Raw genomic sequence first — 17,715 nt, 5'->3', positions numbered from 1 at the left:
TGGCAGGATCTCAACTCACCGCAACCTCTGCCTCCCGGGTTCAAGTGATTATCCTGCCTCAGCCTCCCAAGTAGCTGGGATTACAGGCACATGCCACCTCAGCCAGCTAATTTTTGTTTTTGTTTGTTCGTTCGTTTGTTTGTTTGTTTGTTTGTTTGTTTGTTTTTAGAGGTGGAGTCTCACTCTGTTGCCCAGGCTGGAGTGCAGTGGCGTGATCTCAGCTCATTGCAGCCTCCACCTCCCAGGTTCAAGCGATTCTCCTACCTCAGCCTCCTGAATAGCTGGGACTACAGGTGCACACCACCACACCTGGCTAATTTTTTGTATTTTAATAGAGATGGGGTTTCACCGTGTTGCCCAGGCTGGTCTTGAACTCATGAGCTCAGGCAATCCACCTGCCTTGGCCTCCCAAAGTGCTAGGATTACAGGCATGAGCCACTGCGCCCGGCCAATTTTTGTATTTTTAGTAGAGATGGGGTTAAACCATATTGGCCAGGCTAGTCTCAAACTCCTGACCTCAGGTGATCCACCCGCCTCAGCCTCCCAAAGTGCTGTGATTACAGGCATGAGCCAACACACCCAAGCTCACTCCTGGATATTTTAAAATACTGGAGAGAAACAAACTTCTATCCTTGAGATTTGTAACAATTTGATTCTCTAAAATATAACATTGCTCTAATAGAAGAGACGTCACCAAATTGTAGGCTTGGCGACACAGCAAGAGCCAAACTCCTCGTACTTTACAGGTTACCCCATCCTGTCAGGAGGTGGGGTATCACATTTCCTCACCCAGAAAACTAGCTCCACCCTGCCAAGGGTCTCATGAACTTTTAGCTCTGTAAATTCCAGTTCTAATTTGTCCAAATTCTATAGTATCTCCAGTTCTCTCAAAGAGTTTTGCAATGTCCCACAACAAAACAGACATCATTTTAGCTTTATTTGAAAAGCAGATATTTTATATCATTTGGAATTTAGGAGTGGGATTGGAAAAGGTCTTCTGTAGGGAACATGATAGTAATCAAACAATGGTAGAAAAATACTTCCTTGAGGCTGGGCACATTGGCTCATGCCTATATTCCGAGCACTTTGGGAGGGTGAGGCAGTCAGATCACCTGAGGTCAGGAGTTCGAGACCAGCCTGACCAACATGGTGAAACCCCATCTCTACAAAAAAAAAATACAAAAATTAGCTTGGCGTGGTGGCAGGCACCTGTAATCGCAGCTACTGGGGAGGCTGAGACAGGAGAATCTCTTGAAACAAGGAGGCAGAGGTTGCAGTGAACCGAGATCGCAACATTGCATTCCAGACTGGGTGACAAGAGTGAAACTCTGCCTCAAAAAAAAAAAAAAAAGAAAGAAAAGAAAAATGTTGTCTTGAAAAGGTAAGAATGCAATACCATTTCTTACTTTTTCCAAAGGCCTTCCTTTGAGGTTCTTGGATCATAAAGTTCCCTTCCAGGTGAAGCCTGAGAGGACAAAAATGAGTGAAATGTTTCAATGACTCTATATCCTGGATTTAAGAAAGCAAGTTTTCTTCCACACTGTTTGACAGTGAGTCTAAAAATTCCTAGCAATTAATCATAGCAACAACAAGAGTAGCAACCTGTTACATGTTTGCTTTATATACAGACACTAATCTAAATGCTTTACATTCATCAACTCATATTCATACTCTATTGTGTGGATGTTGTTATTACACTAAAATTTACACACAGAGATGTTACAAATGTGTCCATTTGAGGAACTGGAATTTGTACCCAGCAAGTGTCACGGAAAGGAAGGCTGTTGTAAGCAGACTTGTGTGGAAAATACTCTGTACTTCAATCACTAATCCAAATGCATGTTTATTATGAGGTCTACAGGGGATTGAGCAATGTATAGTCTAGATTTATTGTTTTCATTTGCTTCAAATGAGAACTTTTAATGCTCTGATCAGCATCCTTATTTTTTATTATTATTTATTTTATTTTGTTTTTTTGGAGATGGAGTTTTGCTCTCGTAGCCCAAGCTGGAGTGCAATGGCACGATCTCAGCTCACTGCAACTTCCGCCTCCTGAGTTCAAGCGATTCTCCTGCCTCAGCCTCCCAAGTAGCTGGGATTACAGGCGTGCTACACCATGAGCTTTTTTTTTTTTGTACTATTAGTAGAGACGGGGTTTCACCATGTTGGTCAGGCTGGTCTCGAACTCTTGACCTCAGGTGATCCACCTGCCTAGGCCTCCCAAAGTGCTGGGATTACAGGCGTGAGCCACCACACCTGGCCTCAGCATCCCTATTAATCATTGGATATGAATGGATAAGAGAAATGATAAATAACTCTTGAAGTTTGATTTATTTTATGCTTGATTTGTATTTTAAAAGGTCGGACTAGATGAAGATGAGCAGATTAGGTAGATATCACATTGTGGTGCTTCAGTCCCATCAACATTTCCCCTCCAGAGTTGCAATATAATTTCAGTGATTGCCTAACTAGGACATGTTCCAGTGGACTGTCTATTTGCATGAACCTGATATACTCCTGGTCTTACAATTGCAGGTATTCCTCAGGAGTCACACGTGGCCAAGTGCGGTGCAGTGGGGGTGGGTTGGGGGCAGTGAGGAGAGAGAGATTTAATTCCAACAATATTTATCTTTTCTTGTAGACAAAAACCCAACTAATCTCTTTCAAGGCCCAAGGCAGTGATTTGGCTTTTCCTGTTTGACTATTTATGTGATCTTTCTTTGCAATTGTTAGTCCTGTCACTAATCTTCTTTTCACAATTTGGCTCCATTTCAGCTTCTTTGATAGCAAAGATCCTCAGATAACACTGACCACAGAGTAGGATAAAGGATTCCTCTCCAACTTTAAAAGAAAGTAACATTCATGGGCATTTCTATTTTTAAATAAAGAAATATATAAAAAGAGAAATATCCATAGGTCTACCATTTACAATACTATTCACTTTTAGAAATAAACAAAATACCATTTATTTTTGAACCAGGGAGATCCATCAGGATCTATTTAATGTGGGTCTTTCTGGAGGCAGGATCTTGGGTGAGATAACTATATACACACACACACACAGATGTATATATATTTATATATACATATATATATAACAGCTTTATTGAGATATAATTTACATATTATACAATTCACCTATTTAAAGTGTACAATCCAATGGCTCCTAGTCCGTTCACAGAGTTGTGCAACCATCACGACAATCAATTTTAAAACATTTTCATCACATAAAAATGAAACTTCATCACAATATTTCTAAAACATAGGAAAATTCTTCGGCCCAGGAAATCAGTGGAGAATCCACACCTTGCTTGGAGCTTGGCATTCGTTGTGCAGGTTGCTATTGCCACCTCGTGGTAAGTGGCTAGATCTACAAGCAAAGATTAAACCTTTCAAACAAAAGACTCGTAACCAGCCATTCCCCGGCCATAATGTTTGCCAGGGCCTGGGGTAAAATGGATATCAACATAGCATCTTTACACATATTTGAAGATTATAAATCAATCTAGCAAATTATTGAAAAAAAAGATGCCCTATCATCTTACCTTCATAATGACCTGGAAGCCCATATTCAGATTAAAATTCACAGGCTCCTTGGAATTCCATGTCAGACATGAAGACGTGGAGCTAGTAGGTCTCAGGTCCAGCTTTACTCTTCCCAAGCCTGGTCTGTTGCACACGTCCAGGGGCTGCTCCGTCCTGCATGTAGACATCCCAGTCCACCTGGCCAAGATCCATCTCCACACCTCCAAAGAGGCACCTCCTCCCCACACACTCACTGGCAAATAAATACCAATGGCACAGTCAAGAGCAAACCCACTGAGCTCACTGCAGCCTGGAACTCCTGGGCTCAAGCGATCCTCCTGCCTCAGCCTCCCAAGTAGCTAGGACTACAGACACACGCCACTGTGCCTAGGCTAAATTTTTAATTTTTTAATTTTTTGTAGAGATGGGTTCTTACTATGTTGTTCAAGTTGGTTTTGAACTCAAGTGATCCTCCCACCTTGGCTGCTATTTTTAAATAAAAACATTCATATAATAGAAATTAAGTATTGCAGAGTATAATTTCAAATAGGTAGTTATATTTGTATTTTAATAATATGGCTGGGTGCGGTGACACCTGTAATCCCAGCACTTTGGGAGGCTGAGGTGGGCGAATCACTTGAGGTCAGGAGTTTGAGACCAGCCCGGACAACATGGTGAAACCCCCCCCCCGCATCTCTACTAAATTACAAAAATTACCTAGGCTTGGTGGCATGTGGCTGTAATTCCAGATACTTGGGAGGCGGAGGCGGGAGAATCGCTTGAACCCAGGAGGTGGAGGCTGCAGTGAGCCAAAATCTCACCACTGCACTCCAGCCTAGGCAACAGAATGAGACTCCATCTCAAAAAATACAAAAACAAAATTAGCCGGGTGTGGTGGCGGCCACCTGTAGTCCCAGCTACTCGTGAGGCTGAGGCAGGAGAAGGGCGTGAACTTGGGAGGCAGAGCTTGCAGTAAGCTGAGATCGCACGACCGCACTCCAGTCTGGGAGACAGAGCAAGACTCGATCTCAAATATATATATAATATATATATAAATTATATATATAATAATAAAGTACATGAACATGTGCATAATTATTTATTATATGATTATATTATGTCATGGCTGTGTGCTCAGTTGGTTCTCAAAAAGCCTGGTCATTCTAAGGGCAAGTCCCGTTAGCCCCAGGACTCTGCTTTGTGAAGAGAGATATAACCTTTGAATGTCCACGGCAGGGTCCCATGGCCCACTGCAAATGATTTCTGACACAGAATATAGGTAAAATCTCTTAATGGTGCTGTTAGGAAGGAAGAAAGGTGCTTATGGACAATTAAAGGCAAATGCGTAATAGAGTCTGGTCTGATACCTCTACAGCTGTCACAGAAGCATGTGGTCCAAAAGATTTGTGAGTTTACAAAGGAAATTACTTTGCAAAACAAAAGCATTTATTTTTGATGATGCTTACACTCAAGAACTCAGTTTTTTAATGTTACTGTGAAGCAGATGCTAAACTGCAAAAATTAACTAGCAATTGCATTTCAGAAAGCAATAATATCCAACTCCTTTATTAAGTTAACTGTTAAGTGAACAAAGAAAAAGAAGAGTATTTCTTCCATTAGCAAAGCAAATAGGACATCTGTGCAGAAGACAAAATTTGGTGGGTAAAATTCATTGCTGTGGAAGCAATGAATGACTTGTAGGTACAAAAAGTTTTGTATTCCAGATCTTAAATTGAATAGGATCTCACAGTTTTTAAGAATTTCTTTCCTTCTCTTTTTTATTCTTTGTACATTTACTTCCTTTCTTTTCTTTTCTTTGTTTCTTTTTTCTTTTTCCTTTTTTCTTTCTCTTCCTTTCATCTTTCCCTCTCTCTTCCCTCTCTCCTTCCCTCCCCCCTTCCTCCCTCCCTCCCTTCCTTTCTTCCTTCCTTCCTCCTTTCTTTCCTTCCTTCCTCTCTCTCTCTTCCTGTCATTTTCCTCCTTCATTTCTCCTTTTTGATTAATTTTGTTTCACTTAACCCTGTTTTGGAGACACCAAAATGCAAAAACAAAGAATGAATTTCAAAGTAACAGCAAGGGAAGAAGAACTCGGTCTATGAGCCTCACTGTCTTGACTTTCTGCTCTGTAAGCTGTGAGGTATTTGGGTTCCAGTTTGACAGGTCCCATCACCTAAAGTCAGCCCAGAGATCAGGATAGTATTGAGCCTGAGAGCACCACAGAGTGAGCATTACATGTTATCAAGCTGTTATTTCTGTAGTGTTTTTTGTTTGCTTGCCTTTAAAGTCACCCCGAGTTTTTATTAAATTCTCCTTAGAATTACTACAGAAATCAGCCTGGCATGGTGGCTCATCCCTGTATTCCCAGCACTTTGAGAGGCTGAGGTGGGCAGATCACTTGAGCTCAGGAGTTTGAGACCAGCCTGGCCAACATGGTGAAACCCGTCTCTACTAAAAATACAAAAATTAGCCAGGTATGGTGGCTCATGCCTGTAATCCCAGCTACTCAGGAGGCTGAGGCAGGAGAATCACCTGAACCCGGGAGACAGAGGTTGCAGTGAGCTGAGATTGTGCCACTGCAATCCAGCCTGGGCAACAGAGCAAGACTCTGTCTCAAAAAAAAAAAAAATTACTACAGGGATCCTAGCTGGACTCAGGCATAACATTAAAGGGAATCAGTGTCCCCTTGTCCTCAGCAGTGGTGAGTGGTGGCAGCAGCCAAGGTGAAGGTGTCTTGTGTACTAGCTTTAGGAATATAAGGCGTGGTCACCTCTTCCTAGGTAAAGAGTCACCCTACATTCCGTACTTCAGAGCATTGAGTTTTACTTTTTTTATTTTTTCTTTGAGACGGAGTCTTGCTCAGTCACCCAGGCTGGAGTGCAGTGGCATGATCTCAGCTCACTGCAACCTCCGCCTCCCGGGTTCAAGCAATTCTGCCTCAGCCTCCTGAGTAGCTGGGATTACAGGCGCCTGCCACCATGCCCGGCTAATTTTTGTATTTTTAGTAGAAACGAGGTTTTACCATATTGTCCAGGCTGGTCTTCAACTCTGGACCTCGTGATCCACCCGACTCAGCCTCCCAAAGTGCTGGGATTACAGGCATGAGCCACCGCGCTCAGCCTGAGTTTTAGTTTTTATTATGAGAGGCAATGGTTTTGCTCCACAGGCATTACCCAGCTTAGAAAGCCTTTAGTTGTAAACTAAGTAAGGTTCGTCTGCGTGGAGTTCCCCACTTCTCTCTCAGAAGCTTCTATCCAATCCATTGCTGCCTTCCTTCTGGGCGTCTCTTAGGGGACAGCTACACTCTTCACCATTTTTGACCTCCTCTCCATCATTATGAAAGGAGGACTCTTTTTCTTTGGGAGAGGCTGTAGGGAGAGTGTGTCAGATGCCATAGCTTATCCTAATTCAGGTTCTTCTTACGGACCCCAGTGATGATTAATTTTAGGTCAATTGGCTGAGTCACGGTGCCCAGCTATTTGGTCAAACGTTCAGGATGTTTCTGTGGGGACATTTTTCTTAAAGGAGATTAACGTTTAAACTGATGGACTTTGAGTAAAGCAAATGGCTCTCCATAATGTGGGTGGGCCTCTTCTAATCAGTTGAAGGCCTGATAGACCAAAGACTGACCTCCTCTGAGCAAGAAGGAATTAGCAATTGTTTTCTATATGCCAACAGCGAACAATGTGAAAAAGAAATTTTAAAAAGTAACCCCATTTACAATAGCCATACCTAAAAATAAATACTTAGGAATCAACCTAAGCAAAGAAGTAAAAGATTGCTATAATAAAAGTTATAAGACACTGAGGAAAGAAATTATGAGGACACCAAAAAATGGAAAAATATTTCACGGTCGTGGATTAGAATAATCAATATTGTTAAGGTGTCCATATTACCCAACATAACCTATAGATTCAATGCAATCCCTATCAAAATACCAATGACATTCTTCACAGAAATACAAAAACAATCACAAAATGTATATGGAACCACAAAAGACCTCAAATGGCCAAAGCAGTGTTGCACAAAAAGAACAAAACTGGAGGAATCACATTACCTGGCTTCTAATTATACTATAAATGTTATACTACAGAGCTACAGTAACCAAAACAGCATGGTACTGGCATAAAAACAGACACAAGGATCAATGGAACAGAATAAAGAACCTGAAAACAAATCCACACACCTACTGTGAACTCATTTTTGACAAAGGTGCCAAAGGTACACTGAGGAAAACACAAACTCTTCAATAAATGGTGCTGAGAAAACTGAATATCCATATGCAGAAAAATGAAACTAGACTCCTATCAACATATACAAAAATCAAATCAAAATGAATTATATACTTAAATCTAAGACCCCAAATGATGAAACTCCTACAAGAAAACATTGGGGGGAAATCTTCAGAACATTGCTCTGGGCAAAATCTTTTTGAGTAATATCCCACAAGCGTAGGCAACCAAAGTGAAAATAGATAAATGCGATCACACCAAGTTTAAAAGCTTCTGCACAGCAAAGAAAACAATCAATGAAGTGAAGAGACAACCCACAGAATGGGAGAAAATATTTGCAAACTACCCATTCACAAAAGATGAATAACCAGAATATGTAAGGAGCTCAGACAACTCAATAGGAAAAAAAATCTAATCTGGAAAAATGGGTAAAAGATCTGAATAGAGATTTTTCAAAAGAAGATATACAGATGGCAAACAGGCATGTGAAAAGGTGCTCAGCATCCATTGGTCATCAAAGAAATGTTCATCAAAACTACAGTGAGATATCATCGCATCTCAGTTAAAGTGGCTTATATCCAAAAGACAGGCAACAACAAATGCTGGCAAGGATGTGGAAAAAAGGGAATACTTCTACACTCTTGATGGGAATGTATATTAGTCCAAAACCACTATGGAGAACAGTTTGGAGATTCTTTAAAAATCTAAAACTAAAAATTAAGTTAGCATATGATTCAGCAATCCCACTGCTGGGTATACACCCATAAGAAAGGAAATCAGTCTATCAAAGAAATTTCTGCACTACTATGTTTGTTGCGGCACTGTTTACGAAAGCTAAGATTTGGAAGCAATCTAAGTTTCCATTAACATATGAATGGATAATGAAAACGTGTTATATATCTAGAATGGAGTGCTATTCAGCCACAAAAAGAATGAAATCCTGTCATTTGCAACAACATGGATGGAACTGGAGATCATTATGTTAAGTGAAATAAGCCAGGCAGAGAAAGACAAACACTGCATGTTCTCACTTATTTGTGAGATCTAAAAATTAAAACAATTGAACCCATGACACGGAGAGTAGGATGATGGTTACCAGAGGCTGGGAAGGGTGGTTGCAGGCTGGGGGCAGGTGGAGATGGTTAATGGGTACAAAAAAATAGAAAGAATGAATAAAAGCTACTATTTGATAGCACAACAGGGTGACTACACTCAATAATAATTTAATTGTAATTTTTTTTTTTTTTTGAGACGGAATCTTGCTCTGTCACCAGGCTGGAGTGCAGTGGCATGGTCTCAGCTCACTGCAACCTGCGCCTCCTGCGTTCAAGCGATTCCCCTGCCTCAGCCTCCCAAGTAGCTGGGACTACAGGAGCATGCCACCACGCCCGACTAATTTTTTGTATTTTAGTAGAGACGGGGTTTTACCACGTTGGCCAGAATGGTCTCAATCTCCTGACCTCGTGATCTGCCTGCCTCAGCCTCCCAAAGTGCTGGGATTACAGGCATGAGCCACCGCTCTTGGCCTGTAAATTTTAAATTTTAAAATAAAGAGTGTAATTGGATTGTTTGTAACTCAAAGGATAAACGCTTGAGGAGATGGCAGCCCCATTCTCCATTATGTGCTATTTTCACATTTCATGCCTGTATCAAAACATTTCATGTACCTCCTAGATATATATACCTACTATGTACCCACAAAAATTAAAAATAAAAAAATTAAGACAAAGAATTAGGAATTCTGCTTGCAGATGGTCTTCAGACATAGCCTTCAACAAAGCTATTCCCTGGGACTCCAGCTTGTCAGCCAATCCTGTAGTTTTTGGAATTTCTAGCCTCCATTCTCTCTCTCACTCTCTCTCTCTATCTACACACACATGCATACACACACACACACACACACACACACAGAGTTGGACCCCCCAATATCTGTGGGTTTCATGTCTGACATCTGTAGATTTAACCAACCACAGATGAACACTTCAGAAAAATGAAACAATTAAAAATAATAATATGACAATAGAAATGATACAAATTGAAAAACACACCTTAACTATTTACATGGGATTATTAGTAACTACTTACATAGGTATTATTAGTAATCTGGAGGTGATTTAAAATATGCCGAAGGGTATGTGTAGGTTACATGCAAATATTACAGTTTTATATATAAAAGACTTGAGCATCCACTGATTTTGGTATCTGCAGGGGTCCTGGAATCAATCTTCTACTGATACCAAAGGACCAGACACACATACACACACACGTGTGTGTGTGTGTGTGTGTGTGTGTGTGTAGTGTTCAGTTTATCTGGAGAACCCTGATGTTAGGCTTTAATTAAGAAATCTCAAATATTTATCAGATTACTGAAGGAGAGATCTATATGTCAGCATAAATTTGGCAAAGCTTCCCATTGAACACATGAATGGTACCTACTCCATCCATTTGCAGGACTGACTTAAAATAATTGAAGATGCAGGCTCCTTAAGATAGAAGAAAACAAGCATTTTCCTCACCTCCACTGGGCCCCTGGCAATAAGGATGAGTATCCTGAAGAAAACCATCTTTGAGGGCAAGAGCTTGTAGACCTCCCCTCTATTCCATTCAATCTGGGTATGGATTTATTCTACAATTGTTGAGAAACCATGATGTGTTAGACACTACCATTGGTTTTTACTTTATCTGGGTGAACCTAAAGTGTAATCTCATGGCACCGTCCTTCTTGTGCTTATTGTGAAACAAAACTTACAGGCCAGGCACGGTGGCTTACGCCTGTAATCCCGGCACTTTGGGAGGTCGAGGCGGGCAGATCACTTGAAGTCAGGAGTTTGAGACCAGCCTGGCCAACATGCTGAAACCCCATCTCTAGTAAAAATACAAAAACATTAGCTGGGTGCCAGATGTAGTGGCACATGCCTGTAATTCCAGCTACTCCAGAGGCTGAGGGAGAAGAATCACTTGAACCCAAGAGGTGGAGGTTGCAGTGAGCCAAGAATGCGCCACTGTACTCCCCTGGGCAACAAGAGTAAAACTCCGTCTCAAACAAAACAGAACAAAAAAAATAAAAAAATAAAAAAATACGTACAAGTCCCAGACCAAAGTGTGTCTGTCCCAGGATTTGAACCTGGCCCAGTTTTTCAGTCTCTTTATCCTTAGTCATAATTTGCTTCTTACTTCCATGTACATGCACACACGACTCCACAGATGCTCCAAGGGTTTCTGCAACACTTCTTCTTCTTCTTTTTTTTTTTTTTTTTTTTTGAGACAGAGTCTCACTCTGTCACCCAGGCTGGAGTGCAGTGCAACCTCCACCTCCCCGGTTCAAGTGATTCTCGTTCCTCAGCCTCCCAAGCAGCTGGGATTACAGGCGTGAGCCACCACGCCCAGCTAATTTTTGTATTTTTTATAGAGACGGGGTTTCGCCATGTTGGACAGGCTGGTCTCGAACTTCTGATCTCAGGTGACCCGCCCGCCTCGGCCTCCCAAGTGCTGGGATTACAGGTGTGAGCCACCGTGCTTGGCCTCTGCAGCACTTATCGACTGCATGTTTTCCTCCCTCTTCTCCACTCACCTCAGAACTCACAGGGTGGGAGAGCACACACTTCCTACTCCTACTGCTTCTTCTTCCCTAGACATGTCTTCTTATCCAGACCAGGAGGATCTTCAGGGAACATGCAGCATCATCACAGTACAACCATTCACTCAGGGCCTACTCTTTAACAATATATATGAGCTTGACTTTTCGCAAAAACACTGCAAAGTAGCTATGATCTTCAGGTAAAATGTGACTATTATGACTCAAAAATGTTAAGCAGGCCAGGCACGGTGGCTGACGGTAATCCCAGCACTTTGGGAGGCTGAGGTGGGCAGATCACCTGAGGTTGGGAGTCCCACAACAGCCTGACCAACATGGAGAAACTCCATCTTTACTAAAAATACAAAATTAGCCAGGCATGGTGGCTTATGCCTGTAGTACCAGCTACTGTAGAGGCTGAGGCAGGAGAATCACTTGAACCCAGGAGGCGGAGGTTCCAGTGAACCGAGATCACGCCATTGCACTCCAGCCTGGGCAATAAGAGCGAAACTCTGTCTCAAAAAAAAAAAAGTTAAGCAAGGTAAACAGCTTGTACATCTTGTATTATAAGTAAATGTCTACATTTGGTTTGAACACCAGCTCTGCCATTTCTTCAAGCTCAACAGTCACACCCCTACATTGTCCTAATAATATTTCTACATGAGATAGTCATTTTTTCACTGGTATGCATACGCTTCATCCCTAGGAATCTTGAGAAAACTGTGTTCTCTTCTGTAGTGGAAGCTTTACCTCGACCATTATACATCAAGCTGAAAATGGAACTCTTTGCTCCAGAAAATCATACCTTACATATGAACTAGGTTAATTGGTTCATTGTTGTTCATTAGCAAATAAAATAAAAACATTTGCTTTTATTTCATCCTCATGTATAAGGCTTAATGACAACAAGCCAACACAACATATTCTGAAGGCTTTGAAAGATAAAATTTTGTACGCTTCTCTTCCCACCCCCCATTTAATTTATCCAGTTTTCCATTTATTCAATATTTATTGAAAATTCTGTATCAAGTTTTGTGGTCTTTTTGAGTGCACTTGAATCCTTTAAAAGTAAACCAATTAAGATGATTACACGTTAAGCCTGTAACACTAAGGCACAAAATAGGTCCCCATTTAGTACAGGTCTAGGTTTAAAAGCTAAAGTGACCGTGGCATCCTTTCTTAAATTCTCAAGGGTCCTTGTCATCACTCACTACATGTCTACATGATTTCAAGACAAATCCAGACCTTCTCTCACTTTGCTTGCTTGATTGGGTGTCATATTATCCCTTTTCTTCACCAACTAGACACCAGTTCCAATTTCTGTTCTGGTTCTTAGGAACCCCTAGGCATGATTCTCTCCGGTTCAAGGATCAAACAGGGGGAATGGTAATGTGATAACCACCATTTAGCTCCATACAGTAATTATGAAATCACCTTTTTTATAAATGAGTAAACTGTGGCCCTGAAAGTTTAGGAAACATGTCTGTCAGTGACAAAGCTGGAATACAAACCCAGATTTTTCAGCTCTTTTTTTTTTTTTTTTTTTGAGACGGAGTTTCACTCTTGTTGCCCAGGCTGGAGTGCAATGGCACGATCTTGGCTCACCTCCACCTCCACCTCCCAGGTTCAAGCGATTCTCCTACCTCAGCCTCCCGACTGGCTGGGATTACAGGCAAGCACCACCATGCCTGGCTAATTTTGTAATTTTAGTACACATGGGGTTTCTCCATGTTGGTCAGGCTGGTCTCGAACTCCCAACCTTAGGTGATCTGCCCACTTCGGCCTCCCAAAGTGCTGGGATTACAGGCATGAGCCACCGCACCTGGCCTGGTTTTTCAGCTCTTGAAGCCCGTAGTTTTGTCAGTTTCTACCTCCCCACATATCCAAATGAGAAACAGTCATTTTACTGCTATGGATTCAAGAAGCTGGAGGAATATAATGTTCTCTCTTGACTGACATCTACACAACCTATGCTCTGAGCCCCACCTCATAATCAAATAAACTTTTGTTGACATTTTCCCTTCGTGACAGGCATTATCACTTCTCTTATTTGTATCTACCTTGAGACCCATCTGATCATCTCGATTTTATAAGAAACAGGAATCTGAGAATTAGTGACTTTCTGAAATTGGTCAAAAAACATATTGTTTTAAAAACAGGAAAGTCAGAATTCAAAGATAGGTCTTATTCTAAAGGTCATGTGCTTTATACCTGAGAGTGACAGTGGGGAAGAATAATGCTTTGGATTATTCACCAATGTGCTTCTGTCCTCTCCTGCCACCTGTCCACATCCCTGGACCATGGCACACACAGCCCAGGCAGTTAAGACAGTCTGAGTTTACTGATCCCAGAGCAAATCAAAGAACAATAAATATATTCATGCTCACTTTTTGAGGTTCAAAATAGACTTTTCAAACACAAGGACAGCATGTGTAGAGAAAAGGCGTTCTGAGTTATGGCAGGCTAAGTCTTTGAGCTGAGACTGTGACCTGAACAACAGGCAGAGAGGACACTATCAGAGCCAGGCGTTTTCCTTGGCCCATCCAGACTAGAAAAAGGTTCCCCTTTATGGGTTAGAAAAGAGAGGGCAGTGTCAGCAGCAGAGAAGAGCATCCGTAAGTGTCTCTGAGAAGAAGCTCTTGGTCTTTCCTGCCTACCTCATCTTTGCCAGACCAAGCTCTGTGGAGATAGGACAGGAACAGCCCTCCCCGTGCCCCAGCTGGAAGACACTGGTTCATGGCTTCCTACCAAGGGCCTCCGAGAGTTCACAAGGCTGCAAAATTCTCTTTCCCCAATGGCACTGGAGACAGGAGATGGTTGTTGTGGTTATAACAGTCTCCAAATATTCCTAGGTCATGTGGGAAGTAGTCAGATATTTTTCCAGGTACTGTGATAGGACCTTGAGGGCTGAAGAATGTGAAGGGCTTCAAGACATGATGACACAAGCCACAGGTTCCACTTGACCAGTGTCCACGTGAGGAGAGGGACTTCTTAGCACATGTGAACTTGGGCAGAGTCTGCTCAGTGATCAAGATACTAGATCAGTCCCCTGGAATTTAGAAACTATTCCAGGTATATGTGTGGGCACAGCGTGGAGCGTGAGGTGCAACCTTCAATTAATGGAATTTATTTTATTCTAAATTGGTCTGATTGGCCAGGTGCAATGGCTCATGCCTGTAATCCCAGCACTTTGGGAGGCCATGGTGGGTGGATCACTTGAGGTTGGGAGTTCAAGACCAGCCTGGCCAACATGGTGAAACCCATCTCTACTAAAAATGCAAAAAAAAAAGAAAAATTACTCTGGCATGGTGGTGGGCACCTGTAATCCCACCTACTCAGGAGGCTGAGGTAGGAGAATCGCTTGAACCCAGGAGGTAGTCATTCTCTGTCCAGCTTTGTTCCGTTGCTGGCGAGGAGCTGCGTTCCTTTGGAGGAGAAGAGGCACTCTGACTTTTAGAATTTTCAGCTTTTCTGCTCTGGTTTCTCCCCATCTTTGTGGTTTTACTGCACTTCAGCCTAGGTGACAAAGGAAGACTCTGTCTCAAAAATAAATAAATAAATAAATAATAAATAAATTGGCCTGATTAAAATTTTCTGATTTTCTGCTGCCAGGTAGAATGAGCTCTTGAGATAGAAACCAAGTCAATAGGGAGGTTCCAAGATGGCCGAATAGGAACAGCTCCATTCTATAGCTCCCAGCGTGAGCGACACAAAAGAAAGGTGATTTCTGCATTTCCAACTGAGGAACAAGGTTCATCTCACTGGGGCTTGTCAGACAGTGGGTGCAGGACAGTGGGTGCAGCCCACCAAGTGTGAGCCAAAGCAGGGCGAGGCATCGTCTCACCCAGGAAGAGCAAGGGGTCAGGGAATTCCCTTTCCTAGCCAAGGGAAGCTGTGACAGGCAGCACCTGGAAAATCGGGTCATTCCTACCCTAATACTGCACTTTTCCAACAGTCTTAGCAAACGGCACACCAGGAGATTATATTCTGCACCTGGCTTGGAGGGTCCCATGCCCACAGAGCTTCTCTCATTGCTAGCACAGCAGTCTGAGATTGAACTGCAAGGTGGCAGTGAGTCTGGGGGAGGGGTGCCCACCATTGCTGAGGCTTGAGTAGGTAAACAAAGTGGCCGGGAAGCTCAAACTGGGTGGAGCCCACCGCAGCTCAAGAAGGCCTGCCTGCCTGCCTCTGTAGACTCCACCAGTGGAGGCAGGGCATAGCTGAACAAAAGGCAGCAGAAACCTCTGCAGACTTAAATGTCCCTGTCTGACAGCTTTGAAGAGAGTAGTGGTTCTCCCAGCATGGAGTTTGAGATCTGAAAACAGACAGACTGCCTCCTCAAGTGGGTCCCTGACCCCCGAGTAGCCTAACTGGGAGGCACCCCCCAGTAGGGGCAGACTGACACCTCACACGGCCAGGTACCCCTCTGAGATGAAGCTTCCAGAGGAACAATCAGGCAGCAACATTTGCTGTTCAGCAATATTCACTGTTCTGCAGCCTCCACTGGTGGTACTCAGGCAAACAGGGTCTGTATTGAACCTCCAGCAAACTCCAACAGATCTGCAGCTGAGGGTCCTGACTGTTAGAAGGAAAACTAACAAACAGAAAGGACATCCACACCAAAACCCCATCTGTATGTCACCATCATCAAAGACCAAAGGTAGATAAAACCACAAAGATGGGGAGAAACGAGAGCAGAAAAGCTGAAAATTCTAAAAATCAGAGTGCCTCTCCTCCTCCAAAGGAACGCAGCTCCTCACCAGCAACGGAACAAAGCTGGATGGAGAATGACTTTGATGAGTTGAGAGAAGAAGGCTTCAGACAATCAAACTTCTCCGAGCTAAAGGAGGATGTTCAAACCCATTGCAAAGAAGCTAAAAACCTTGAAAAAAGAGTAGACGAATGGCTAACTAGAATAACCAGTGTAGAGAAGTCCTTAAATGACCTGATGGAGCTGAAAACCATGGCACAAGAACTACGTGACACATGCACAAGCTTCAGTAGCTGATTCGATCAACTGGAAGAAAGGGTATCAGTGATTGAAGATCAAATGAATGAAATGAAGTGAGAAGAGAAGTTTAGAGAAAAAAGAGTAAAAAGAAACTAACAAAGCCTCCAAGAAATATGGGACTATGTGAAAAGACCAAATCTACGTCTCATTGGTGTACCTGAAATTGACGGGGAGAATGGAACCAAGTTGGAAAACACTCTGCAGGATATTATCCAGGAGAACATCCCCAACCTAGAAAGGCAGGCCAACATTCAAATTCAGGAAATACAGAGAATGCCACAAAGATACTCCTCAAGAAGAGTAACTCCAAGACACATAATGGTCAGATTCACCAAGGTTGAAATGAAGGAAAAAATGTTAAGGGCAGCCAGAGAGAAAGGTCAGGTTACCCACAAAGGGAAGCCCATCAGACTAACAGCTGATCTCTCGGCAGAAACTCTACAAGCCAGAATAGAGTGGGGGCCAATATTCAACATTCTTAAAGAAAAGAATTTTCAACACAGAATTTCCTATCCAGCCAAACTAAGCTTCATAAGTGAAGGAGAAATAAAATCCTTTACAGAAAAGCAAATGCTGAGAGATTTTCTCACCACCAGGCCTGCCTTACAAGAGCTCCTGAAGGAAGCACTAAACATGGAAAGGAAAAATCGGGTACCAGCCACTGCAAAAACATGTCAAATTGTAAAGACCATCGATGCTAGGAAGAAACTGCATCAATTAATGATCAAAATAACCAGCTAACATCATAGTGACAGGATCAAATTCACACATAACAATATTAACCTTAAGTGTAAATAAGCTAAATGCTCCAATTAAAAGACACAGACTGGCAAAGTGGATAAAGAGTCAAGACCCATCTGTGTGCTGTATTCAGAAGACCCATCTCACATGCAGAGACACACATAGGCTGAAAATAAAGGGATGGAGGAAGATCTACCAAGCAAATGGAAAACAAATAAAGCAAGGGTTGCAATCCTAGTCTCTGATAAAACAGACTTTAAACCAACGAAGATCAAAGGAGACAAAGAAGGCCATTACATAATGGTAAAGTGATCAATTCAGCAAGAAGAGCTAACTATCCTAAATATATATGCACCCAATACAGGAGCACCCAGATTCATAAAGCAAGTCCTTAGAGACCCACAAAGAGACTTAGACTCCCACACAATAATAATGGGAGATTTTAACACCCCACTGTCAACATTAGACAGATCAACGAGACAGAAAGTTAACAAGGATATCCAGGAATTGAACTCAGCTCAGCACCAAGCAGACCTAATAGACATTTACAGAACTCTCCACCCCAAATCAACAGCATATACATTCTTCTCAGCACCACATTGCACTTATTCAAAAATTGACCACATAGTTGGAAG

At 42.3% G+C, this 17,715-nt stretch overlaps 1 annotated feature.

The window, feature by feature from the left end:
- Positions 3,240 to 3,534: a silencer, noted in NCBI's record as "tiled region #3146; K562 Repressive non-DNase unmatched - State 12:CtcfO". NCBI's record gives its function as "represses a minimal TATA promoter and a strong SV40 promoter by Sharpr-MPRA in K562 cells {active_cell/tissue: K562}" and the evidence as "EXISTENCE:reporter gene assay evidence [ECO:0000049][PMID:27701403]".

Source organism: Homo sapiens, chromosome 8, assembly GCF_000001405.40.
Source record: "Homo sapiens chromosome 8, GRCh38.p14 Primary Assembly".
Lineage (NCBI taxonomy): Eukaryota > Metazoa > Chordata > Mammalia > Primates > Hominidae > Homo > Homo sapiens.
Note: the sequence above shows the minus strand (reverse complement) of the source record. Positions and strands in the feature narration are given on the sequence as shown.